This window comes from Homo sapiens, chromosome 6 (assembly GCF_000001405.40).
Source record: "Homo sapiens chromosome 6, GRCh38.p14 Primary Assembly".
In the NCBI taxonomy this organism is placed as follows: Eukaryota; Metazoa; Chordata; class Mammalia; order Primates; family Hominidae; genus Homo; species Homo sapiens.
The window spans coordinates 38,703,186-38,730,584 of record NC_000006.12 but is presented as its reverse complement, the minus strand read 5'-3'; the positions used below and the strand labels follow the sequence as shown (position 1 = coordinate 38,730,584).

Sequence of the window (27,399 nt, the reverse complement as noted above, 5' to 3'; positions counted from 1 at the left end):
GCCTAAGGCAGCAGAGGAACCAAGTGAGAAAGAAGCAACGGGAGGGATGTGTTGAAGGTAAATCCACAGGACTCTGATGATGAGTAGTCTCAGACCAAAAGGGAAACCCACATATCTAGTTATTAAAACAAAGTTTTAACAAGCTGGTAGCATGTTAATTAGTTCAGGCATAATATGCACAGTAGGGAAAACCAGCTATTCCAAGTGACAGCTGCAGCAGGCACAAGATGCTGAGATAGGACCACAGGGGGTAGCTGCAGGGCTCTGGAGTGGTTTCACCACCACTTCTAATCATCTGGACAAAATGGCTCCACCTGTTTCGGGGAAAATGCAATTAAATTCTAATGAAAATGTGTATTCCCAGCAGAGGCCAGTGATTTCTACAAGGATGTTTTCTCCTGAAGACATTATAGCAAGGCCTGAAATATGTATTTGGGCTGAGAATGTATTGTTCTTGAGACACTATATTTCTTATACATAAACTTCTGGTAACATTTTCTTTATAAATAAAGGATTATCTATGTATAAGAGAAAAAATATGCTGCACTTTAACGTGCATGAACTAATTACTGGCACACTGCCCTCAGAAAATTCTTACCAATACCAGGTACATCTCCTTCTTGGTACAAAAATTTCAGTGTCTTACAACCATCTTTCGCAAAAAAATTAGTAAATGCTTCCAGCTGTTAAATAAAAGAGAAAATGATAATCAAACGACTAAGGAAAAATTCTTAGTATTTTGCAGATGAAGAAGATGAAGCTCAAAGAGTTTATTCAAAGGTACATAAAGGCAAGATTAGAACCCAAACTAATTTAACTCCAAAATTACTGTGCAATATAGTAATGGTTGAATTATATTTCTGAACCTACATTAATGACCTACATATATAGTTTTGGGCAGCCACTTACCTGACCCTGCCCCACAGAATCATATAGGGGTTAAATAGGTGAGTCCAACTTGAGGTAAATATTTTTAAAAAAGAAGTATTATTAAGATAAACTATTCTTAAAAGCTCACTTGGGGAACAGAAAACTTGCCTATTGATTAACTGTGTTGTTGACCAATTATTTGAGCAATTATGTTTTTAGCTATTGTAATTTGACCTGTATTGTACCAAACTGAAGTAAAAACACATTATCATACTGAGATTCTTCCATATTTATGAGCATGAAGTTTTTATTCAATTACTTAGGAGTCAGTGTAATATCTTAGTAAATAGAAAACTAAATAGATAACATAAACGAAAGCCCTGAAATATCCTATGGGAAATACAAAGTCATATACCCATTCACCTAATCCCACTTATTCCCATACAGAAGGCTTTCTCTTGGGTAGTGAGAGTTTGTTTGTTTGTTTGTTTGTTTGTTTGTTTGTTTGTTTTGAGACGGAGTTTCGCTCTGTCACCCAGGCTGGAGTGCAGTAGCGCGATCTCGGCTCACTGCAACCTCTACCTCCCAGGTTCAAGAGATTCTCCGGCATCAGTCTCCCGAGTAGCTGAGATTACAGGCTTCTGCCACCACGCCCAGCTAATTTTTGTATTTTTAGTAAAGATGGGGTTTCGCCATGTTGGCCAGGCTGGTCTTGAACTGACCTCAAGTGATGCTCCTGCCTTGGCCTCCCAAAATGCCGGGATTATAGGTATTAGCCACCACACCTGGCCATGAGTATCTCTTAATTTACTGACTGCCTAGCGGAAGTATCCCAAGTGTAGCAAAGCCACTCCTCCTAGGACAGTGTTCTCAAATGTTAGTGTGCATCAGAGAATCACATAGAGGGCTTTTTAAAAACACAAAATGATTTGCATTCCTATCAAGTTCCAGGTGATGCTGATGCAACTGGTCCTGGGACCACATTTGAGAACCACCACCCTGGGAGATAAAACAGAGCCACCAAGATGTGCGTAACTCTAGCCCTTTGTTCTCTACTCTTCCACCTCCCGTATATACTTGGGTCTCACATAATTGCCACCTAAAAGGGACAAAAGCTGTCCACATAGTTCTTGCACAGCTCCATCAGTACTTTCTTGCTGACCCTTTAGCTTTGAAATCATACAAATTCTCAAAAGCAGTGCACATGACTAGGATAAAAAGACATCAAAATATCAAATGCAATGAATCCTTGCATTTTAGATACATTGTACTCATGAGACTAGCAAAGTAAATGTGAGATCATGGGCCAAAATCATGACTGTGCATTAAAAATTCACTTATATTACATAACATTTTACCAACAGTTAATCTGAGTATCAACTAGGTAAAGTGGCATTATTATACCCTTCTTGCAGAAGAGAAAATTAAGGTAAAAAGACTTTAAGTAGGCCAGGCTCGGTGGCTCACCTCTGTAATCCCAGCACTTTGAGAGGCCCAGGTGGGCAGACTGCTTGAGCCCAAGAGTTCAAGACCAGCCTGAGAAACATGGCGAAATCTCCTCTCTATAAAAATACCAAAAAAATTAGCTGGGCATAGAGGTATGTGCCAATGGTCCCAGCTACTTGGGAGGCTAAAGTCGGAGGATGGCCCGAGTCTGGGAGGTTGAGGCTGCAGTGAGCTGTAATCATACCACTGCACTCTAGACTGGGCAACAGAGCGACAGTCTGTCTCAAAAGAAAAAAAAATTAACTTAAGGACCCAAAACACACACGCACAGCACAGAACCTGGGATTGGACCTCAGCTTTGGGTGTCCAAATTTGTGCTCCTTCCATGTACCACAACCCTGCCACCCAGTCACTGGAAAACATTGCCAGTAAGCCAGAAAAGAGACTATCTTGAGCAGTGCTGAATGAAGGGGGCAGGAAAGTGGGAAGGGGTAAAAGTGCCAATGTTGCAGAAACATCTGCATTGGTCAAGGTCCTAGCAAGAAAAGGAGTCACACCCAAAGGGGTGTTTGAAAAAACTTTATAAATAAAAAGGCTATTTTATTTATACAATAAAAGACTATTTCTAGAGGCCAGAGGAGGATTAAGAGAAGCTGCAGCACTAGCAGCAACAATGGGACTAGCAACAACGGAGAACCGTGATCCCCCAAGGACTGAAGAGTTGAGAGCTAGAGGAAATAGAATGACTAGGGCCAGGTTGAGAACTGGAGATGCAGGCTGCTCAGGGAGCTATAACTATGGGAGCAGAGAACCACAGTCAGGAACAGGGCCAAGTGGGGAGCTTCTCTCCCCTTCTGCCCTCCCATTTCCTGCTGTGCCTCCCAGTGGCTGAACCAAGTGTAAACCAGAGAACAAGGGAGCCCAGGTGATAGATTCCATAGAGTTCAGCTTTCTATGCCACAGAGCAGGGCAGAGACAAAGGGAGAATGGATCCAGAGGCAAACAAAGTAACCATCATACCCTCTGTTGTCCACTTTTTTGTGGTGCCTTTACTGAGCTGCTTTCATCCTGGATTGCATGCCAGGCTTCACATTAAAAGAATACTTTTCCAGGCCCAGCACGGTGGCCCACACCTGTAATCCCAGCCCTTTGGGAGGTCAAGGCTGGTGGATCACTTGAGGTCAGGAGTTCGAGACCAGCCTGGCCAAGATGGTGAAACCCCGTCTCTACTAAAAATACAAAAATTAGCCGGGTGTGGTGGCACGCACCCGTAGTCCCAGCAGCTCAGGAGGCTGAAGCAGGAGAATCGCTTGAGCCTGGGAGGTGGAGATTACAGTGAGCTGAGATCGTGCCACTGCACTCCAGGCTGGGTAACAGAGGAAGACTCTGTCTCAAAAAAAAAAAAAAAAAAAAAAAACTAAAGAATACTTTTCCATATACCCCCAATTTCCTAAACCGCACCACACCAAATCATGCCACCCCTTGTTCCTTGTTCCATCTCTTTACTCACCTGGTCACCAACCTTGATCCAACCTATCATATATCCTTGCCTTTTCCCCTCAACCAAATAAACATTCTAATCTTTCAGGTTTTGACACTGGTTTCCCTACTGGGTACACGATTTTCCCTCCACCATGGCTTTGCTCACTCACAAGCAACTCTTAAGGAAATACCTTTTGCAGCTTGATTCTTCCTTAATGCCTACATTTCCCATTCCTTGCAGCCTAAGCAGTGTCAGTCCTGGACCATAATGGCCTTAAAGGTAGAATCTAACCACATGGACCCAAAGTCTGAGACATACCCCAGGAATAGCAAATAGAAGGGTTTGTAGGCACATAGCACTTCTACTTCCTGACTAGCATGCTAGCCAGTAAGAATTCCTCCAAACAGAGAATACCAACCCAGAAATACAGATGGCAAATACTTAAAGTTGGACTACCAGTTCTGCAGATGCCCATCTCCCCCCCACATCTTAGTTCTAGCAGTTACCCTTTCATGAAGGCAGTGATCAGGCCGCAATGCCTATGCCTATACTCTTTGCAGAAGGTCTAGGGATTCCAGTTGTGGTGTTATCCAAATCTGTGGCCCAGCAATTTTCAGGTGAAACAAAATTGATCACTCATCTGGCTTCCTCCCTAGCCAAATGCAGGACTGATCCTCGGGACAGGCCTAAAGCCTGGGCCTACTAAGAAATGACTTTTTAGAAATTGGCCTTCCCTTCCTCTCATTGTCACCATCTCAGGGATGTGTATAAGGTTGTTTTGCACCAATTGCTTAGAGAGGCTAGAAAGACATGTAGCCAAAGTCACCACAGAAACTAGAATAGTCACTGGGGAAAGGAAACCATTAAACAAACAAACCCAACTTGTGAATGGCAAAGAAAATCCTCTTACTATTTGGTTGGCATTGTCCACAGTCAGGACCAGCTACAGAATTTGATGAACATAGTGCAAAATGAAAATGGGAGACATTTACCAAAAAATTATCAAGAACTTCAAAATGGTGACAAAAGATCATCAAACCAAGCATAGTGACATTCTAAGCACAGGGGCCTCTGTAACTACACAGCCAATATATCCATGAAGCCAGCCTTGACCACAGCAGTAAATTCCAGCGGGGAACTTTGGTGACCTGGGAAACCACAACCTACTTCCGGTTGCTTGCTGTGACACCTCTTGTTTTACGTACACATCTCCATGCATTCTCTATACTTTGTCATTATAATAGCTTAGAGCTATTGAAGTCTTTGCATCAATCACATCCCCATCTCACTGTTACAGCTACACAACAGGACCAAGAAAATGAGCAATCCCATTCATACTGTCAGAGAACTGCCAGGACCACATTCTTATAAGGATACTGGACGACATGAAGCGCAGACAATTTTGCAGAATTTAGCAATGCACTGTATCAAGCAAGGGAGTAGCTCTTTATTATTATTATTATTATTATTATTATTATTATATGAGTTGGAGTCTCACTCTATCGCCCAGGATGGAGTGCAGTGGTACAGTCTCGGCTCACTGCAACCTCTGCCTCCCAGGTTCAAGCGATCCTCCTGCCTTAGCCTCCTGAGTAGCTGGGACTACAGGCACATGCCACCACACCCAGCTAATTTTTGTATTTTTAGTAGAGACAGGGTTTCACCATTTTGGTTAGGCTGGTCTTGAACTTCTGATCTCAGGCGATCTGCCCGCCTCAGCTTCCCAAAGTGCTTGGATTACAGGTGTGAGCTACTGCGCCCGGCCGGGAGTAGCTCTTTTAGGCACGGTTCCATAGAACCCTGGCTCCTAGAGCAAGCTAAAGAGTTTTGCCCATGTTTGATGACCCCTATAAAAGCAGGGGATATGGCCCCCATGGTGACAACCTCACCACAACCCCACCTCACCCCAACTCTCTCACCAGTGCATTCAGTGAGACAATCAGCTCACCAGCAGTCTGCACCTGCTCACTGGTCTTTCTGGCATACCAGCCCAGTCCACTCCTAGGGTTCAGAAAAAGCCCAAGAACCTAGTGGTAGTTTTATTGAAAATTATCTTAGAACCAGAGCTATCGCGAGGGAAGCTATGACACAAGTGTATCATACATTACTATAATTAGGGTGACCGCATCAATTTATCATCCAAAACTGTTAGTAGTGTCAGGAGGTACTGTTAATCATGCCAGGAAAATAGGTATAATCCAGAACTGTCCCTGGCACACTGAGACATATAGTAACCTGACCTGCAATCACATCACTATTTCTACTACCGTATACTCATACAATAGTCACTGTTTCCTGACTTATTTATGCAGCTTTTCTCTACAAGTGATTTGCATATGTAGTTCATATAACCTGTACTTGTAAAATATTACCTACCGTCACCACTCAACTATGCCTCTAACTTCTGACATCATTCTGAATTAGAAGTTTAGCCAAAATTCTAGTTGCTAACTTTTCTCTTCTTCCTCCACAACAGTAAACCTGATTAGAAATACCATTCAACTGGGCCAGGTGCGGTGGCTCACGCCTGTAATCCCAGCACTTTGGGAGGCCAAGGTGGGCAGATCACGAGGTCAAGAGATCAAGACCATCCTGGCCAACATGGTGAAACCCCATCTCTACTAAAAATACAAAAAAAAATTTAGCTGGGCGTGGTGGTGCGTGCCTGAAATCCCAGCTACTCGGGAGCCTGAGGCAGGAGAATCCGGAAGGCAAGGTTAGTGAGCCGAGATGGTGCCACTCCACTCCAGCCTGGTGACAGAGCAAGACTCTGTCTCAAAAAATTAATTAATTAATTAATTAATTAATTAATTAAATTTAAAAAGAAATACCATTCAACTGGCTATAATTATATAAACTAAACCTTCTCCTCTAGTCAGTAAAATTCCAACTTTTGTCTTTTTCTTTTTTCTTTCTTTTTTGTTTTTTAGACAGCATCTCACTCTGTCAGCCAGGCTGGAGTACTCACTGCATCCTCCACCTCCCAGGCTCAAGAGATCCTCCCACCTCAGCCTCCTGAGTAGCTGGGACCACAGGTACGGACCACCATGCCCAGCTAATTTTTGTATTTTTTGCAGAGACAGGAGTTTTGCTATGTTGCCCAAGCTAGTCTCAAACTCCTGGCCTCAAGCAATCCCCAAACCTCAGCCTCCCAAAGTGCTGGGATTACAGGCATGAGCCACTGTGCCCTGCCCCAACTTTGTCTTTCTGAATGATTTTTGTTGTTGTTGTTGCTGTTTATGACAACTCTATTTTCTTAAGTTAATCACTTACTCAAAGGGCAATTAAAATATAATGATAAGACTTAAACTTACAGATGGGCAATCCAAAATTAATTCTTCAACAGTTACTATGTCCAGGCCAAGATTTTCTGCTAGAATTTCAAATATATATTTGTATGAAGGGTCAATTTTCAGTCTTCGGCTTTCCCTTGCCTCTCTAAATCTTGCCTAAGGAATGAAAACCAAGTTCAAAAATTGCAATTCTGAAGAAAAAATATCAAACTGTTTCATACTTTGTAAAGTAAAAGTATTTCGTATTTGATAAGGAAAAGTGGCACACATGAAAAATCGTATTAGAAGCAAACCTGTCTCTCTTTTAATGTTTCCTGTAGATTGGGAAGGCCACTCATACTCCGGCGGTATCTGGAGGACCTCCGGGAAGACGGCAAGGACAGCACTTCCGAAATCACTGACTGAACCGGTCGCGGTGCAAGCCTCTGTCGAACTCTATTCAGATCCGCTTCATGATCATCTGGAAGAACTATCCCTTCTTCAGAAGGAATGAGATCCCGATAATCCACCACAGAAGAAACAGCATCTTCTGCGGAAGGAGAGAAACCATCTTCTGCCGGGGCCTCCACTGTCGGAGGGCGCGGGGCCTCTTCCTCTTCTGAACGGGGAGGGGCAGCCTCTTCCGTAGAGGGAGGAGCCTCTGCTCCCTCAGAAGGGGCGCCATCTTCAGCATCCTTCTCCATCCCCCGTCGTGCGGAATGCTTTATACTTCGAAACCTAGAATTATAACATAGGTTCGTTTAAAACTACAGTAAATTGAGTGTTGTACGTTTTTATTACTCCCCTTTTAGCTAGACAAGTAGCAAAATCATTAAGTTCTCCCTTGCCATATTATCTAAGGAAGCTTAGTTTATGGGGCTGGAGAGGTGATATTTTTAGTGAGGACAGCACACACACACACACACACACCCCCACCCACCTGGGAGCTTTTTCAGACTTTAAGTGCTCCTCCTGATTATGTTATGGCTCTAGGGGACTGTCCCTCCACACACATCCCATCCCTGCCATAGTAACCCCAGCAATTCATTGGAGGGCACCTGAGGAGGTGCCTTAGGGCTAAAAAAAAAAGATGAGAGCCACTGAATTAGAGGACAGACTGTAGATCACTGCCGAGGTACTCACTGTGCAAGAGACCAAGCAAAGAACTTCGTGAACTCTAAAGGTTCCTTGCTTCAAGGAACTATGTAATGCAATACAGTTCATTAATCAGACATTCTACTGTCTGCCATCTCATCTACCATAAAAGCATAAAACATCCTCTTAGCAGCCAAAATAAATAACCCCAAGTCCAAACAGAAAGTTCACACTGAAAAGTGATTGTGACTATTTATTGAGGCAATGGTACTATAGAGAGCATAAATCTAGCCTGCCTAAACAGAAAAGCTCTAATAATGAAGAAGTGTAGAAGTTATGAGCACATAACCATGGAAATTAGGGGACGCCAGTGGAAAAGGAGATGTCAGTTACAGACAAAAACCATATTGTAGGACAATAATGATGCCTCCAACCAAATAAATATGTTTTCAGGATGTGGTTAAAATCCAGAAACCAGAATAATAGTAAATACTTGGAGAACAAAAGGATACATTCCCAAACACGTAAGAAGACAGAAAAAGAGGTTTCTAGTGAGAAATTCTGAGGACACAGATGCAGACCTGGCCTAAGCAAGATGGAGCTTCTTATGATGGGTCAACAGTAGATACTACACAGAGCCAGCCTGTCACCTATGCCCCACAACTGCTCTCTCCAAGTTTTCCAGAGAACTCATAAACAGCTATAATTGTTTGTTTGATACACTTAGTTGGCCTACTCAAGGACAAACTGACCTATCTTTTAGCTGCTAGTTAACCAGTTTACCCACCCACTGTCCCCTAGAATGTGTCAACATGAACCATTGTTCCCAAATTATCAGCAGGGTTTTTTTAGCCTTCCCTCTCCCCACCCCCTTCTCTCTTTCTCTCTCCTCTCTCTCTCTCTCTTTCTCTTTTGTGACAGGGCCTCACGCTGCCACCTGGGCTAGGGTGCAGTGGCGTGATCATAGCTCACTGCAGCTTTGACCTCCCAGGCTTGTGACCCTCCCACCTCAGCCTCCCAAGTAGCTAAGACTACAGGTGCATGCCACCAGCCTGGCTAATTTATTTATTTGTTTGTTTGTTTGTTTATTATTTTTATTTTTCATAGAGACAAGGTCTCATTATGTTGCTGAGACTGGTCTCATGGTACTGCCAAACAGTACCAGTACTCAAGCTCCTGGGCTCAAGTGATCTTCCCACCTCAGCCTTCTGAGTTGCTGGGACAACAGGAATGCACCACGATACATGCCTAATTTTTTTATTTTTTATTTTTAGAGACAGGGTTTCACTCTGTTGCTCAGACTGGTCACAAACTCAATAATTCTTAAATCTGGTCGTTTGAGGTAATTTTCTATAAGTTTGTTCATCTTCATTCTTTTTCCTTTTGTCTCCTCTGCACATTTTCAAACAACCTGTCTGAGTTCAGTGATTCTTTCTTTGCTTGATCTGCTGTTGAGAACCTCTAATAAGTTTTTTAGCTCAGCAAATCTCTTTCTTAATTCCAAAATTTCTGGGTTTTTTAATCTCAATCTCTTTGTTAACCTTCTCTGATAAATTTCTGAATTTTTTTTGTGTGTTATCTTGGAGATCACTGAGCTTCCTCAGTGCTATTTTGAATTCTTGGTGAGAGGGTTCACATATTGCCTTCTTATTAGGGTTAGTCACTGGTTTCTTGCTTTGTCCTTTTGAAGAGGTCATGATCCTCTGTTTGCTATTTTTTCCTGTGAATGTATGTGTATGTCTTTGTGTTGAAGGATTAATTATTTACTCCAGTCTTCTCTGTCTGGCTGGTTTTGGTTTTTATTGGATATGTCTGCTTAGAGAGTCTTTACAATTTACCTGTAGATTTTCTTTTGTTTTTCACTAGGTCACTGACTCATTTCCAGCACTAGATGTCGGCTTAAGCCTGGGTTTGCCTCGGTTCTAGTAAACAATCAGATTGCTGCCCATCCAAAATGGGGGAAGTCCTAAAAGGATTATCCCAGCAGTGTGGGAATGCTGGCTAGGGGTTCATGCTTAAGGGAACTGTGGGATGAGCTTCCCACAGCATGGTACTGCCAAACAGCAACTCTGATTTGGTGTCTTCTTTGGCCAAGTTACAGAGCAGAGTTTCCAGGAATGGGGATGGTAGTCCTATCTCCCTCCTTCATCTCTGGCTGTCCTCAGGGATATTTCTCCCTTTAGCACTGCTGATACTTCCTGTGGTTTGAGGCAAGAACAGGTCTCCTGCCATGAAACCCAGGATGGTAGGAAAGTTGGTTGTCCACTTCAATCTCACTTTTCCCATTAGAGAAACCGTAAGACTGGGAGAAATTTTCCATTTGCCTGGTGCCAGGCAGACTGAGGTAAGGAGTGTCATGCTATGAAAGTCCAATTCTCTTACCATCTGCTTAGAGGTTTTTTCACTTCTCTGTGGTACTGGAAATGATCTCATCCTTATATCTGAGTTTTGGGATATTGTTGGTGATAATCTTAACATTGTGTATTTGTTTCCATTTTCTGGTGGTAAGGGAGAAGAAACAGCCAGCTTGCTTCTGTGCCACCATTTTGAAACACAATGTCAGGGTGCATTTTTGAGCTTGGTAGGGTTTTAGGGCTGCAGCTTAATGGTTAGCCCATTCGCAGTAAAAATCTTTGGTGGCAACTCTAATGCTGGGCAGAATAGGCGTCTATCTGTGAAACAGCAGCCCAGGCATTCCTCTGATGCTAGAGGGAATGAGCTGTAATGATCAGCTGCATTAGCTACACCCCCTCCAGGTCTCTGGAGAAGCCCTGCCTCTTGTCTTAAGAATACAACTTCACAGTGGATTGGATGAAGAAATATATACCATGGAATACTATGCAGCCATAAAAAAAACACATGTCCTCTGAAGCAACATGTATGCAGCTAGAGGCCATTATCCTAAGTGAACTAACACAGAAACAGAAAACCAAATACCTCATGTTCACACTTATAAGTAGGGACTAAACACTGGGGATACATGGACATAAAGATGGAAACAAGAGACACTGGGGGTACAAGAAGGGGAAGGGAAGGATGGGGGTTAGGGTTGGAAAACTACCTATTGGGTACTATGCTCACTATCTGGGTGACAGGTTTAATCATACTCCAAACCTCAGCATCATGCAATAAACCTTTGTAAGAAATCTTCACATGTATCCTCTGAATCCAAAATAAAAGTCAGAAAAAAAGACTACTTCAAGCCACAAGTGCTCAGCAACCACAGCTAATGTAGCACCCCCTAGATGTCTTGCCTGAAATCCAGCCCAGACAAGAATTCCTGAAGAATTCAGTCTCATTTAGGAGATAAAGTAACCTATATGAATCAATCAAGAATGTTAAATTGTGATGTTCTGCTGAAAAAGGAATTTAAAGAAGGAAGAGAGAAACGTGGACAAAATAGACAAAGAGGATTTCATGGAGGATTTGAACATTAGTTGGCCTTAAAGGATAAGTAGGAGTCAACAAGAAGCAGAGGGAAGAAATTTAAACAGAGAAGTAAAGAGGTAAACTATAAAAAGCTATGAACAGGTCAAAGCAGGGAAAATTTGGTTGGGAAAAAAAGTTTAGAACGACATCATATCATATTCATTCTTCCAAAAGACCACAAACAGCAAGGATTCAGAATCTGTTAAGATAAATAATAAATGTGGTTTTTATACAAGCAGACTTTTGTGACTGTGAACACTGACATACAGACTCTGTTTCTGCGAATACAAGTGTCTGTGAACACTGAAAATTGATAATCAGGGATTAATCCCTATTGTGACTCAGAAAAAAATAAATTATAAATAATTTGTTATAGTTTAAATTTTGTTAAAATAGATCATATAGCTAAGATTCCCAAAATAAATATATAAATACATGACCACTGCCATTTTGGAGAGATTTTCCTTAAGGAAATCATATAACTTTCCCTCTAATGAAATACTGTAATTTGAGATGCATTTTCTACATGGTTTTTGAGTGTCAAATATTGCTTGGCAGGTAACAAACTCTAAATACTAAAAGATCAACTTATCAACTTATAAGAGTGATGCAATTATTTAATTTTAGGTTAGAAGATGTATGCAACTACTTTATATAGAGGAATTCCTAAAAACTGTAGCAAAAATGAAAAAATCTTACCAACTATATATAGATAGATATACAATATATATACAGACACACATACACACAAGGTTGGTGGTTCACTACAACATGTTTGTAATAGCAAAAACAAGCAAGAAAACACACAGACACATACCCACACCTTGGAAACAACCAAGATGTCCCTTAATGAAGGGCCCACTAATTGTTCTGTACTACCCTTGTTCAATAAAATTTTAATGCATCATTAGCGATACAAAGAATGAGGTAGAGCTATATATGCAGATATGTAAAACTCTCCAAGACACATCGTTACATAAAAAGCAAGACACATTGCATAATAACACCACTCGCATAAAATTTTTAAAGTGTGTATATGTGTATATACGGTATTTCATCAATTCTAAGATGCATACTTTAAGAAGGTTTAATATGCAGCATTTTTTTGTTTCTCAGCATTTTTTTCTTTATGCAGTTACATAAAATACCTAATTTGCATGTACAGAATTGCAAAAAAATTGTAATCAGTAATAGTTTAGATTTGATAAAGTACATTATAAGCTTTCTAGGGAGAATACACAATAAATTATTAATAAGAATCACTCTGAGTGAAAGAAATTGAAGAAGGGAAGTAGAAGAAGAATTTTTACTTTCCAATTTCCTAACTTTCTGTATGGTTCTTTTCTAAAAAAAAAAAAAAAATCATGTGTACATTTTAGTTGTATTACATCTGTGCATATCATATACTGTAACATACAAACTCCTGAGCTCAAGCTCAGGAGTTTGAGACTAGCCTGGGCAACATGGAGAAACCCAGTCTTGACAACAAATGCAAAAAATTAGCCGGGCGTGGTGGCGTGCACCTGTAGTCCCAGCTACTTCGAGGGCTGAGGAGGGAAGATAGCTTGAGCCCAGGAGGTCAAGGCTGCAGTGAGCCAAGATGGCGCCACTGCACTCCAGTCTGGGTGACAGAGTGAGAACCTATCTTAAAAAATAAATAAATAAGACCTGAAATTCCCTACGAATCTACCCCCAAGCATTCACATTCTGCTGATGCAAAGCACACAGAGTGAATGTGGCATCAACACTTGTTCACTTTCTCTGGGTCCTTCTCTCCTTCACAGACAACTTGCTCTGTTGTGCAGGCTGGAGTACAGTCATGTGAGCACAGCTCATTGCAGTCCTCACCTCCTGGGCTCAAGCGATCCTCCTACCTCAGCCTCCCAAGTAGCTAGGACTAAAGGCGTACACAATCACACTTGGCTGTTCTTTTTTGGTTTGGGTTTTGGTTTTTCTGTAGAGATGGGATCTCACTATGCTGCCCAGGCTGGATGCAATCATTTTCAATTCCCACCATCCCTTCTTAAGTTAAATTTTAAGGATTCAGTGAACTTCTGCAAAGTCAACAAGAAATGCATCCTGGTTATTTTCAGGAGCATTTCCAGGTGTTGAACTCCTCCCCTCCTAGGAATACTACAGTAAGTGAGCAAGTTGCATACCTGTGTGCTGGGTACAGCCAATTCAACCACACCCTTTTCTCTTGCACCCATTTCTGTAACCCTATCCCAAATGCATTAGTTCATTCAGCAATATTGAACGTCTTCTGCATGTCTGGCCACTGTGGCTACATAAAAGACTAAGGACTTCTCCAAAGCAAAATGCACAATCAAATTGGTGTGACAGACTATTGAATACAACACAAGATGGTCAATGTCAATGACAGGTGAATTAACGAAGGGCTAAGAGAGCTTAGCAGGCAGCAAAACTTCTGAAAAACAAAAAAAGAAAGAAAGAAAACTTGACGGAGAAGGTACCACCCGAGTCGGGTCTAAAGAAGAGTTGTCAGGAGAGGATGGGAGAGAGAAACATTATAGGCAGAAGGTGGGAACAGTGGCGTACAAAAGCAGAGAAGCAAAAAGAGGCACAACTATCTTGGGAAAAGTGGTAAATTCAGTGATGAGACTTTTGGGCTAGAGGGGAATGAGAAGGGTAGAGGAACGGGAAATAAGCCGGAGGGAGAGGCATTTTTTTTGTTTTATTTTTGAATTTTTAAAAATATATAGGTATATGGCCGGGCGTGGTGGCTCATGCCTGTAATCCCAGCACTTTGGGAGGCCGAGGTGGGCGGATCACAAGGTCAGGAGATCGAGACCATCTTGGCTAACACTGTGAAACCCCGTCTCCACTGAAAATACCAAAAAAAATTAGCCGGGCGTGATGGCGGGTGCCTGTAGCCCCAGCTACTCGGGAGGCTGAGGCAGGAGAATGGCTTGAACCAGGGAGGCAGAAATTGCAGTGAGCCGAGATCGCACCACTGCACTCCAGCCTGGGCGGCAGAGTGAGACTCCGTCTCAAAAAAAAAAAAAAAATATATATATATATATATATATATATATATATATATTTATTTATTTATTTATTTATTTTAATAGCTTTTCGGGTACAGGTGGTTTTTTTACATGGATGCATTGGATAGTGGTGAAGTCTGAGACTTCAGGGTCATCCAGGTAGCATACATTGCAAGCGATATGTAGTTGTTTCATCCCTCACCCCCCTCCCACCCTTCCCCTTCTGAGTCTCCGAAGTCCACTATACCCCTCTGGATGCCTTTGCGTAGCAATAGCTTAGCTCCTACTCATAGGTGAGAACGTGCGGTATTTGGTTTTCTAGTCTCAAAACGGGGAGTGGGTGTGAAGTCACTTAGATGTCCAGTGTAGAGACTGACAAAGGGTAGTGACTCAGCTGGGGTTTTGAAGCAGGGGTTCCCTGGGTTCAACTAACAGAGGTGGAGGACTGAACTGTAGCGTGGATTCCAGTCCCCTAAAAAGAAGGAAAGTGGGCGGGGAACCCGGCTGCATCAGGGCCTCCCGGACAGGGGCCGGGCGCTCACAGCGCGCTCCGACCAAGTACTCACCAGCCGCTCTCTGGGCCCCGATGCCCCGACCACTCAGCCCACTGAGGCCGGCCCCAGCGGTTGCGCTGCCCCGGGGGAGCTGCTCCGGCCTCCGCGGCCCGGAACGAGGCTGACGGTTGGGAGTCCGAGACAGGCTCGCTCGGGGGCGAGGGCTCCGCAGTGCGCAGCTCCCTACGGGGAGCGACTGGAGGGGCACGGGCAGCCCCCGCGCTCCCCAATAAAGGATGCACCCACCGAGCCCGAGGACTGAAACATTGTTTAGGGGACCCCAGGCACTGAAGGGCGGGTTCCTGGAGATGGACATTTGGAGTGCGGTGCCAGGGGCTTGGGAGGATTCCCGCGTATACGTGGTAATACGGAAATATATAAAATAATGTTTTCTATGACCTTTACAGTTTCTGAAGTTACTTAGTGTTTTCCTTGAGAACCTAAAAAGTGTTTCCTGGTGAGTCAGTGTGTTCAGAAACCTGTGACTGATGAGAGAGAAAGATTCTGGGGGAAAACTGACTTCTCTCCCAAGTCCACCCCCTCCCCTCTCTAGTACGGTTCTGCTTTTGCTGTGACTGCCTGACATGATGTGAGCGGTCCGTTTTTAGTTGGGTGTGTTAACCAAAGAAAAAAAAATCAGTCATTTAAATAATTAATATTAGTTTTATTCAGATGTCTTACTAAGGATTGCAATCCGGAGAGTCTTTCAGAGACTTTCTGTGAGACTGCTCCAAAGCTTAGGTACAGGTGGTGGCATGTGATGGGAAGTGGCATCAGATGTGCTCAGCAGTTACATCAAATGAGCTCAGCAGTTACATTAGAGCAAAATCTCATCAAGGGTGGGGTTCAAGGGTACATCTGGTTATAGATTGTAGAGGCATAATCATTAATCCTATCAGCTATTATCTTATTATGTACAGGAAGAGGCATGAGTTAGGATCCTGGAACTTTTGCAAGAAAAGATTCATGCAAGAGATGTTATCATCTTCAGGGGCATTCTTCCAGGGGCTGCACTTAGTCACTGAGTTAGGGGATTTGTGAAATGTAGCTGCCAAAGAATTCTCTGACATTCTGCTGGCAAGCAGAATGAGCAAATATAGCTTCTTACATAAACTATTTTGTCTTACAGGTGTGAAAGTCAGTCTTTGAATGTAGAGCAGATCAATGTGGAATGAGGACTGAAAGGTCTGTCAACTGAAAAAAAAAACAAGAATGAATATAAAAAATCACAAATTAAATAAACCATGGTCCATCCATATTAATAGACATTACTCAGTGATTATACAATATAAGCTTATGGGAGCAAGGGAGTTCCTGAATATCCTTGCTGACTGTGCCGAAATGCAAGACCTACCTACCCTCTAACTCTGAGCCACTTCCTTAACCAATCTTTAGGCAACTCAGCAGGCCACAGCAACCACGGCACGAAAAGGCACAATTGCTCACTTCCTGGGGAGAGGGACTAGCTTGTTTACTGCTCGATACAAAAGATACTGAGCACTTAGCCCTAGATTCTTTACCTGCCTCCCAGTCCACTGCCTGCATCTGGGTCCACGGGGTTGCCCATTGGGACTTGGGGTTGGGGGAACCGGCCTCCCATATGATACTCCTGCCATTTGTTGAGGTAGTGTTGAGGACAAGTGCTCTACCTCTTGTCCATCGAATCTCATTGTTTACTTTTGGCACTGATGGAGCTGGGGCAGGTTTTATACTTGCCTTCTTTTCCTGTCCCTATGCTGTCTCTCTATTCTCATGTAGTAAGAAACAAACCAGAATACCATATTCCTTAATAAAGAGCCTTAAATATATTCATTCATATGCCTTAACCTACAAATGCCTCTTTTGAAAATATATTCCTAAGAAATAATACTAAATATGGACAGAGCTTTGGTTCTAAAGACATGTGTTGCTGTATTAGGTTTGTAGCACCGTGATCCATGCAATAGTTTCATTAACTCTGGCAGAAAACTAGCTTCATGGAATACTGCCAAATGATAGCAACCCTGAGAATGCCTGAGATACAGGAAAACTGTACCTTCCACAGAGTTCTCTTGAGGCTTAACAGAAGGTAAACCCCATGCAGCACTTATATAAGACATTAAGTGCCCACGATCCTGAGTATTAAGTGTCCCCGAAAATACAATGAGGGAACACATATAAAAACACTTAGCACAGTAGTACATGGTAATGGCTAAATCAATGCTAGCTGTTATTTGTAGTAGTTTAGTATTAGTGTGTGTAGTGAAGAAAAATACTGAACCGGTAATCAGGGAAACTGAGTCCTGTTACTGTGCTACTCAACAAATAACCGTTTAGTCGACTAAGCCTCAGATTGTGAAACTGCTCTATTACTGGATGTCCTTATTTGTAAAAAGAAATGGGGGAGTTGAGATAATCTCTAAGTTCCCTTCCAGTTCGAAAAATGTCTAACTCTATGACGAGTTTGGTTTCAAGCCTCATCAATTGAGAGGAAGATGATACTATTGACCGAAATAAAAATGTCAAAACAACCAATTGGAAATGTCTAGGTGTTGTAGGGAATATGCAATTAAGGTGCACAGATTAGCAATATTTGCTATGTTATAATTATCCTAAAGTACCACATGGTCATATTATCAAATAACAATTTAAGTAACCAGTTATTCAAGTAAAACATATATAATATTAAATAACTATCCACAGCTCATTCCTTTGAGCTTTTCTTGAAGGATTATCAGTTTGTGGCTGTAATGGCACATTTATATCTTGTTTAGTGTGGTCCATTCTACTTGCAAACAAAAATCTCTGCCAGTGCAGAAACCTGAAAAACCTGACAATAAGAACCTAAGCAACTGTGAACCCAAAAGTATCTGAGACAGGTTGCAATCAATTCAGAAAGTTTATTTTGCAAATATTTTGCTAACGTTAAGGATGGACCCATGACATAGCCTCAGGAGGTTCTGATGACATGTGCCCAAGGTGGCCAGGTTACACCTTGCTTTTATACATTTTAGGGAGACATAATACATGGGGGTGGGCCTTCCAGGCCACAGGTAGATTTAAAAATCTTCTGATTAGCAATTGGTTGAAAGAGTTATTATCAATAGAAAGAAATGTGTGGATTACAATAAGGGGTTGTGGAGATCAAGGTTTTATCATGCAGTTGAAGGGTCCAGGTAGCAGGCTTCAGAGAAAATAGATTGTAAATGTTTCTTATCAGACTTAAAGAGTGTCTTACCAGTAATTCCAAGAGGGATGAGGGTATAATGAGGCATGTCCAACCCCTCCTTCCATCATGGCCTGCACTAGTTTTCAACCTATCTATTTTCCTATGGTTGGACATTTAGCCTTTATCAATTTTTTCTTCCTTTTTTTTTTTTTGCTATTCAAACCATGTCTCTTATACATGTCTCATGGAGTGCAGACACAATAACCCTTTTCATACCCTTGGCTGAGGGGAAGGGTCCATTCAGATGGTTGGGGCGGCAGGGTGCAGGGGGTTACAATTTTATTTTTGGTTTACACAACTAATAAGATGATGTTCATTAAGGAAAATAAATGTAATCATAAAAGTATTTTAAACATATTCTCAGATTTCCTAATCTTAAATTATTACCAATGAAAAAGAAAAGCCATGTATACGTCCCTTGTAATGGGTTGAATTGTGTACCCCCCACAAAATATGTCCAAGTCTTTTTTTTTTTTTTTTTGAGACGGAGGTCTCACTCTGTTGCTCAGGCTGGAGTGCAATAGCACCACCTCAGCTCACTGCAACCTCTGTTTCCCTGGTTCAAGTGATTCTTCTGCCTCAGCCTCCTGAGTAGCTGGGACTACAGGTGCACAACATCACGCCTGGCTAATTTTTGTATTTTTGTAGAGACAGGGTTTCACCATGTTGGTCAGGCTGGTCTTGAACTACTGACCTCAGGTGATCTGCCGACCTTGGCCTCCCAAAGTGCTGGGATTACAGGCATGAGCCACCGCACTCGGCAATATGTCTAAGTCCTAATTACCATGACCTGTGAATGTGACCTTATTTGGAAAAAAAAAATCTTTGAAGATGTAATGAAGTAAAAAATCTCAAGGTGAAATTGTTGGGGTGATCAGACCCAACACCAGGCCGTGGGGGCTACAAAGTCCAGCGGAGTCAAAGGTCTAGTGGGAACCAGCCCCGCCAGCAACATGGATTCTCTTTCTTATCCCAGGTGGGTCAAACAGAGATGAGTTTGTGAAAGCTGGGTCCAGGGGGATCACCGCAATGTGGAGCTGCAATGTCATCCAAGCACTGGAATAGCCAGCATTTATTATCAGTTTACATGTGGGAGGGGGAGCAAGGGCAGTGAGCAGAGGGTGGTCTGATCATGGGGTGAGAGGATCACATGATTATAGGGTGAGGTCCACAGTAAAGATGTACGGATATACGGAACTGTGAGTTCCAACTGCTAGTTGCATGCATCAGCAATTTAATAGGATCAGGCTTTAACTATAAACTATGTTTAAGATGGTTGCGCAGTAGGCAAGTAAGAACGGGACATGAAACCAGACGACCAGTCTGACCACAATTCTCCCTGGGGGAGGGGCCCCTGGGCAGGCCTAGGAGAGTGGTGGGAGAAGAAGAGCTTTACGCCCTTATCTCAACCACTGAAGCTTTCACTTCCAAACAGACATCCCTCATGCATCCATTTATAGGCTCTCCATAAGGGATGCATTCCTCTCCCAGGGCCTTAATACTTATGCCTTCCTGAGAAAGGAATATGGGTGATGTGTCACCTCCCATCCTGCATGTCCGTCTATAGGCTCTCTGCAGGGGAAAGCACATCAAACGCTGTTAACTCTCACTGGCAGCCAAACCTCATGGTGACTGGCTCAGTCCTTCATTATTGCTTTAATAACCTGATTACTGTTTAACAATCAAGCAATCATCATTATACAAAGGCAAGCATTCTACTAGAAAAACAACACAGCAATTTAGAAAGTTATATGTAGTTCTTTTTTTTTCTTCTGACTTCATTCTAAAATTGCTTACACAAACACTTCCTAAAACTGTCCCTCCATTTCTCCCCAGTCCGGGGTCCTGGGCTTTGCCCATACAAAGGAATGAGAAAAGACAAGTTAAGAGTGCATAAGGTGGGTCCGGGGGCCAATGCTGGTATGGAGGCTGAAAAAGCCCTGAGCTCTGGGATCCTACACTATTTATTGGTGATCAAACAAAGAAGCAGGTGGTGAGGACATGTGGATGTGGGGGTAAACAGGTGAGGGCGTGAGGACATGGGGGTAAACAGGTGAGGGCGTGAGGACGTGGGGGTAGAAAGGTAGCGGTGCATGAAGCATAGCTGTGATGGTTTAGCATTTTCTTTGACACATATAGAATATACTCTGCTGCTTGAGATAATGGAGAACATGTTTACGAGCCTGGGAGAGCAACCAACAAGTCTGTGCACATTCCAGAGGCTACGAGGGGTTTTATGCCCTAAGCCCCAGATTCCATCCAAGCCACAAGGGGTTTTATGCCCTGGGCTTAGATTTGTGGTGTGGCAGGGCAGCTTTCCACCCTTTGGCACAGAGCTTGGTGTCCCAAAGGCCACGAAGGGTTTTAGAGCCTCGAACCCGGACATCTTCCAAGACTCTTTTATATTATGACAGACAAGCCAGTCCTGCCTCAGCTCTTCTACCAACAGAAATCATCCTGATTTAGGGTGGGTCCTAAATCTATGACTAGAGTCCTTATCAAAGAAAGTGGAGAGAGATTATAGACATGAAGACAGGGAGGAAGGCCACGTGAAGTTGAAGGCAGAGATTAGAGACACATTTCCACAAACCAAGGAACTCCAGGAGCCACCAAAAGCTAGAAGAGGCAAGGAAGGATTTTCCGTAGAGCCTGTAAGGGGGAATGACCCAGCTAACACCTTGATTTCACACTTCTTGCCTCCAGAATTGTGAAAGAATAAGTTTCTGTTGTTTTAAGTCACTGAGTTTGTGGTAATGTGTTACATCGTCCCTGGGAAAATTAATACACCCCTTCTACCAAAAAGGAGAATGTGAAAGTTTTCATGTCAGTGTGAAGTGTTTTATAAAAATCCTGAAACACAGAGTTGAGGAGGGCTCTGAAAAGAAGGGTCTCAGGCTTGTATGACTGACGACAAAACTATCACAGAAGATTCTGTGAAACTACAACCTTGTACAAAGGCCATCAAAACTTTATGCAAAGAAATACTTCTGCAAGGACATCCGCCCAGGAACTCTGTCCATCCTTAGACGGACATCATCACCCTTACTGTTGATCATTGTAGTCAAGGATAATAGTCTCAAAACAATTATGTAATCTTCCTCATTTTTCATTTAAAAACTTTTGTTTTCCTTTATCTCCCTGAATATGCACATAGTTTACTATGGCACGCAAATTCCCATTGCGATGCCCTACGTTCAAATAAATACCTTTTTCTTTTAGAGAACCTCTTTCTGTTTTTTAGTTTGACAAAGCACTTCTAAACTCTTTGGAATTTGTGTCTTCTCAAACAGGGACTATTTCTAAACTATTCCTTCCCCACTATCACTGTCTTCCCTTTTGTTTCTCTATGTGGTGCTTGTTACTTTTTAGTTTTAAAAAAAATGTGCGGTGAAATATTTAAAATATACAGAGAGTCATAAAGAATAATACAACTCTCCATTTGCCCAACATCCAGCTTAAGTTATAAAACATTGTCAACACAGTGAAATCCACAGTATATCCCTCCCCTATGTCTTCCTCTGCTGCCCCTTAGAGGAAATCATGTTCCTGAATTTGTTTATTCCCAGGCACTTCCTGTACCATTACTAGATGTGTATTTAGTCCTAGGCAATACGTTATGTCATTCTGCATATTTTTAAGCTTTGCAAAAATGGTATTGTGCTATGTGTATTCTTCTGCAACTTGTAATTTTTTTCATTTCTATTATGAGATTTATCCCTGTTGGAATAGTAGCTCTGGTTCATTCATTTTTACTTATGTATAGTAGTCCACTCAATGAAAATAACACAATCTATCTATTTTCCTACGGTTGGACATTAAGGCTTTATCCTTTTTTCTTCTTTTATTTTTTTTGCCATTCAAACCATGTCTGTTATATATGTCTCATGGAGTGCAGACACAATAACCCTCTAGGATATATACTTAGCAGTGGATCCCAGGATGTACTCTCTTCAACTTCATTAGATACTGCCAAATTACTTTCCAAAGTGTGTCCACCAGCAAGTGTTTATGCATTTCAGCTGTTCTACATCCACACCAACACTTGATATTGACAGGTTTTTAATTTTTTAATTTCTGTCAATCTCAAGAGCATAAAAGAAAACTCATTTCTATATTAAATTGCATTTACCTATTTACCAGAAAATTGGAGCAATTTTTTTTTCTTTTACTTTTTTTGAGACAGAGTCTCACTCTGTCACCCAGGCTGGAGTGCAGTGGCGTGATCTCAGCTCACTGCAACCTCTGCCTCCCGGGTTCAAGTGATTCTCCTGCCTCAGCCTCCTAAGTAGTTGGGATTACAGGCACATGCCACCACACCTGGTTAATTTTTGTATTTTTAGTACAGACGGGGTTTCACCATGTTGGTCAGGCTGGTCTCAAACTCCCGACCTCGTGATCCTCCTGCCTCAGCCTCCCAAACTGCTGGGATTACAGGCGTGAGCCCCCACTCCCGGACTCTCTCTCTTTCTTTCTTTCTTTCTTTCTTTCTTTCTTTCTTTCTTTCTTTCTTTCTTTCCTTCTTTCTTTCTTTCTTCCTTTCTTTCTTTCTCTCTCTCTTTCTTCCTTCCTTCCTTCCCTCCCTCCCTCCTTCCTTCCTTCCTCTTTCTTTCTTTCCTCCCTTCCTTTCCTTTCTTTCCTCCCTTCCTTTCCTTTCTTTCCTCCCTTCCTTTCCTTTCTTTCCTTTTTTTGAGACAGGGTCTCATTCTGTCGCCCAAGTAACGTGATCTCACCTCACTGCAACCTCCACCTCCCAGGTTCAAGTGATTCTCCTACCTTAGCCTCCTAAGTAGCTGGGATTACAGGCATGTGCCACCACACCTGGCTAATTTTTGTACTTTTAGTAGAGGTGGGGTTTCACTACGTAGGGCAGACTTGGAGCAATTTTTCATATGAATATATGCTATTTCTATTCTCTCTTTTGTAAATTGCCTATTCTTCTTTTTGGCCATTTTTTTCTATCGAGTTATGTGTCTCTTTCTCATTGATTTCTAACAGTTTTTACATATTCTGGATACTGAACCTTTGTTGGCTATGTGTGTTGCCCATACTTTCTCCTGGTCTATGGTTTAACTTTTTACCTTTTAGGGTGTGTTTTAGCTTTCTTTTATACTTCGTGCTTTTATATCTCATTAAGAAACTTCTTTCTTTCTTTCTTTCTTTTTTTTTGGAGATGGAGTCTTGCTCTGTCACCCAGGCTGGAGTGCAGTGGCACGATCTCGGCTCACTGCAACCCCTGCCTCCCAGGTTCAAACAATTCTCCTGCCTCAGCCTCCCGAGTAGCTGGGACTACAAGCACACGCCACCACGCCTGGCTAATTTTTTGAATTTTAGCAGAGACGAGGTTTCACTGTGTTGCCCAGGCTGGTCTCAAACTCCTGAACTCAGGCAATCCACCTGTCTCAGCCTTCCAAAGTGCTAGTGAGCCACCGCGCCCAGCCTTCATTAAGAAATTTCTACCATGAATTCACAAAGGCATTTTCTAATATTTTATTCTTCAAGGTTTTAAGTTTTGCCTTTTCACATTTATGTCTATAATCCTCTTGGACTTACGTTTTCCTTTATGGTATGAAATAGAGATCTTTTTTTATCACATACATAATCAATTGTCCTTACCCCATTCATTGAAAAAATAATCTTTTCCCCACTAGCAGTAAGATAACACATACCAAATTTATATATATATACACACACACAGAGACACAAACATGGTATGTGTGTATATTGGTTGCCTATTAATGCACAACAACTTATTCCAAAACTTAGCAGCTGAAAACAATAAACATTTATTATCTCACAGTTTCTGTGGTTTAAGAATCTGGGAATGGTCCAGCTAGGTAGTTCTGGATCAGGGTCTCTCACAAGACAGTGACTAAGAGGTTGGCCAAAGCAGCAGTCATTTTGAAGCTCTACTGAAAAAGGACCCACTTGCAATTTTACTGTGTAGCTGATGGCAGGTGTCTGGCCTTCACTGGCTGTTGACCAGAGACATTGGTTCCTTGCCACATGCATCTCTCCTTAGAGTTGCTCACAACGTGACAACTTGCTTACCCTCCAAGTGAGAGATCAAAGAAAGTGACAGAGCTCCCAAGATAAGAATCACAACATTTCATTCTCTAATCTCAGAAATGACATGAAGTGACACTTTATCATGTCTATCATGCTCTTTGTATCAGAAGTGAGCCACCAAATCCAGCCCATACTCAAGGTTAGGGAAGCAGACAAGACTGTGAAGACCCGGAGGTGGGGATCATTGGGGTTATCTTAGAGTGGTCTACTACAGTTTCCATTTGTTGATCTATGCCAGCCTCCCTACCATACTGTCTTTTTTTTTTTTTTCATCCTGTCTTAATTACTGTAGCTTGTACAAAGTCTTGTTATCCGGTAGAGAATGTTCCCCTACTTAATTATTATTCAGTATATCTTTCCTATTTGGGGCCCTAAAAATAGAATGTAGAATCTGCTTGTTCATTTTAATTGAAAACCCCTGGGCCAGGCACAGTGGTTCATACCTGTAATCACACTTTGGGGAGGCCAAAGTGCGAGGATCACTTGAGCTCAGGAGTTCAAGACCAGCCTGGGCAACATAGTGAGATGCTGTCTCTACAAAAACTAAAATAAAATAAATTATCTGGTTTTGGTGGTGCATGCCTATAGTCTTAGCTATTTGTGAGGCTGAGGTGGGTGGGTGGGTGGATTGCTGGAGCCTGAGAGGTTGAGGCTGCAGTGAGCTGAGACAGCACCACTGCACTCCACACTGGGCAACAGAGTGAGACCCTATCTTGAAAGAAAGAAAGAAGAAAGAAAAGAAAGAAAGAAGAAAGAAAGAAAGAAATAAAGAAAGAAACAAATAAAGAAAGAAGAAAGAAAGAAAGAAAGAAAGAAAGAAAGAAAGAAAGAAAGAAAGAAAGAAAGAAAGAAAGGACTCTGTTGGGATTTTTATTGGAATTTCATTACATGAACAGATTAATTAGTAAATGAATTGATATTTTATGATATTGAGTCTTCCTATTCATTTACATGCTTTATATCTCACATAGTCTGAGAAGCTCACCAGAAAGATTAGTGCAAAAGGGCTGGGAACAGTGGCTCATGCCTGTAATCCCAGCACTTTGGGAGGCCGAGGTGGGCGGATCACCTGAGGTCAGGAGTTTGAGACCAGCCTGGCCAACATGGTGAAACCGTGTCTCTACTAAAAATACAAAAATTAGCCAGCATGGTGGCAGGTGCCTGTAATCCCAGCTACTTGGGAGGCTCAGGCAGGAGAATCGCTTGAACCCAGGAGGTGGAGGTTGCAGTGAGCCAAGATCACACCACTGCATTCCAGCCTGGGCGACAGAGGAAGACTCCATCTAAAAAAGAAAATTAATGCAAAAGAAGACAATTTGGGGGTCTTTTCAATAATTCAGTGGTAACACACAGTATATGGAGAGTTTGTGTATTGCTCCAATTCCCGAGTTTAAAAGGTTTAAGGTCTAGTTCCATATAGAAGTCCTGCAGTTCTAATAGACTGTGTTTTGATGAAATATCCTCAGTAAGTTAGTATGAGGTATGCACAACATTTCTGCTGAAATCCTTATCCTGCCTATCATTTTGCAGTGGACATCCATGGTTCAGTTTGCCTGGCAATCCTCCCTTCTCATAAGAACATCATCGCTCTTCTTTTAGGGAACTAACAGATCCTCCCCAAACTCCAATCAGGTGGTCCTAATCCAGGTTGCCAATCGCAGTGCTTCAATCACAGGAGTAAGCACAGGTCCTAGGCCAGGCCAATCACAGCTCCTTCTTGGATTTTCCAATTTGATAAAATCCAGGCTGGCTGGATAAAATCCAGAGGGAGAGTTTACTCCCACTCCTAGTGAGAGAACAGCTGCCAAATTTCTAGTCTTATGGAGCTGGTGTCTGACAAACTGAAGCTGCGATGCAGAAAAAAGCTGAGATGAGAGACGGGGACATCTTGGTGGTGGCCAGGTGGCTAGTGCCATATACATCCCTGCCCAACCTCATTTTGGTTAGGTGAGCACCAGTCATTCCCATTTATTCTTTTAACAACAGGAAGTATTTAATGAGCATCTACTATTATGAGCCAATCATTGAAGACACAGTGATGACTAAGCCTTCCAGTGAACACAAAATATATATTAATGTAAAAAGTACTGCAAGTTATGGACATTTGGAACCTAAGTAGGCAAACCATGACTTAAATCTCATTTAGGCTGGGCACAGTGGCTACACCTGTAATCCCAGCACTTTGGGAGGCTGAGGCGGGAGGGTCACTTCAGCCCAGGAGTTGAGACCAGCCTGGGCAACATGGTGAAACCCCCATCTCAAAAAAATACAAAAATTAACTGGTCTTGGTTTTGCAGCCTGTAGTCTCAGCTAATCGGGAGGCTGAGGCCAGAGGACAGCTAGAGCCCCGGAAGTCGAGGCAGCAGTGACTGCAGTAAGCTGAGAGCACACCACTGCACTCCAGCCTGGGCGACAGAGCGAGACACTGTTAAAAAAATTAAAAAAAAAAAAAAAAGAAAGAAAGAAAGAAAAGAAAAAAGAAAAAGGAAAAGAAAACTTATTTAATTCTCAACAAATCCTGTTAGGAAGCTCAGAGAGGGTCAGTAATTATTGCAAGTTTCTAGCGCTAATATATAGCGGAACCAAGACTTGAACATAGGTTTTCGACTCAACAATTGTTTTAATTACTCTGCGCTGCGTAAACTGAGAAACCTCTGAATCCTTACAATTTTAAAAGAACAACTTACAGTTTTCAGTTTCCATCAGATTCCAATTTTCTACCAAATTGCAGCCCTGAGGTATGAATGGTTACCAAACTTTAGTTAAACAAACAAAATTAGCTCATTAAGTAACAGAGAAACCACTCTGCCCAGCCTGCATTTTTTTTTTTTTTTTTGTATGAGTTTGCCTCCTTTATGCGCAAGGCTCCTTGGGAGTTGTAGTCTGAGGCATAGTCCTGTGGGTGGAGGCGCTGACTCACTGGGACCCAATCAGCAGAGAGTCAACTTGCTCTCCGCGCAGCGATTGG

At 42.3% G+C, this 27,399-nt stretch overlaps 1 protein-coding gene and 1 long non-coding RNA gene across 11 annotated transcripts in view, besides 4 other annotated features; one reads left to right on the top strand and one right to left on the bottom strand.

Moving 5' to 3' along the window:
* The window catches only part of DNAH8 (dynein axonemal heavy chain 8), a 315,482-nt gene extending 300,208 nt beyond the window's left edge, over positions 1–15,274 (bottom strand). For 8 of the 10 annotated variants that reach the window (XR_926078.3, NM_001206927.2, XM_011514319.3 and 5 more), the window contains exons 1-4: positions 15,170–15,274; positions 7,386–7,809; positions 7,114–7,248; positions 599–683 (exon numbers count right to left, since the gene is read on the bottom strand). Coding sequence is in view for 8 of the 10 variants with exons in the window: in NM_001206927.2 (NP_001193856.1) it covers positions 599–683; positions 7,114–7,248; positions 7,386–7,775 (610 nt within the window). In the remaining 2 variants the exon portion in view is untranslated. The remainder of the gene's footprint in view (positions 1–598; positions 684–7,113; positions 7,249–7,385; positions 7,810–15,169) is intronic. The other 2 variants (NM_001371.4, XM_011514320.3) reach the window with 1 other exon arrangement.
* Positions 6,836–8,035: an enhancer, noted in NCBI's record as "BRD4-independent group 4 enhancer chr6:38690326-38691525 (GRCh37/hg19 assembly coordinates)". NCBI's record gives its function as "activates an origin of replication core promoter dependent on BRD2, P300/CBP, MED14 and CDK7 cofactors, and independent of BRD4, by STARR-seq in HCT116 cells {active_cell/tissue: HCT116}" and the evidence as "EXISTENCE:reporter gene assay evidence [ECO:0000049][PMID:35650434]".
* Positions 9,938–10,232: a silencer, noted in NCBI's record as "tiled region #13272; HepG2 Repressive non-DNase unmatched - State 13:Ctcf". NCBI's record gives its function as "represses a minimal TATA promoter and a strong SV40 promoter by Sharpr-MPRA in HepG2 cells {active_cell/tissue: HepG2}" and the evidence as "EXISTENCE:reporter gene assay evidence [ECO:0000049][PMID:27701403]".
* Positions 15,238–15,287: a silencer, noted in NCBI's record as "silent region_17162". NCBI's record gives its function as "represses an Ori minimal core promoter by ATAC-STARR-seq in GM12878 lymphoblastoid cells {active_cell/tissue: GM12878}" and the evidence as "EXISTENCE:reporter gene assay evidence [ECO:0000049][PMID:35858748]".
* On the top strand, positions 15,370–16,415 carry DNAH8-DT (DNAH8 divergent transcript). The gene is made up of 2 exons (NR_186581.1): positions 15,370–15,519; positions 16,287–16,415. It is a non-coding gene; the product is annotated as a DNAH8 divergent transcript (long non-coding RNA).
* Positions 27,164–27,323: an enhancer, noted in NCBI's record as "active region_24487". NCBI's record gives its function as "activates an Ori minimal core promoter by ATAC-STARR-seq in GM12878 lymphoblastoid cells {active_cell/tissue: GM12878}" and the evidence as "EXISTENCE:reporter gene assay evidence [ECO:0000049][PMID:35858748]".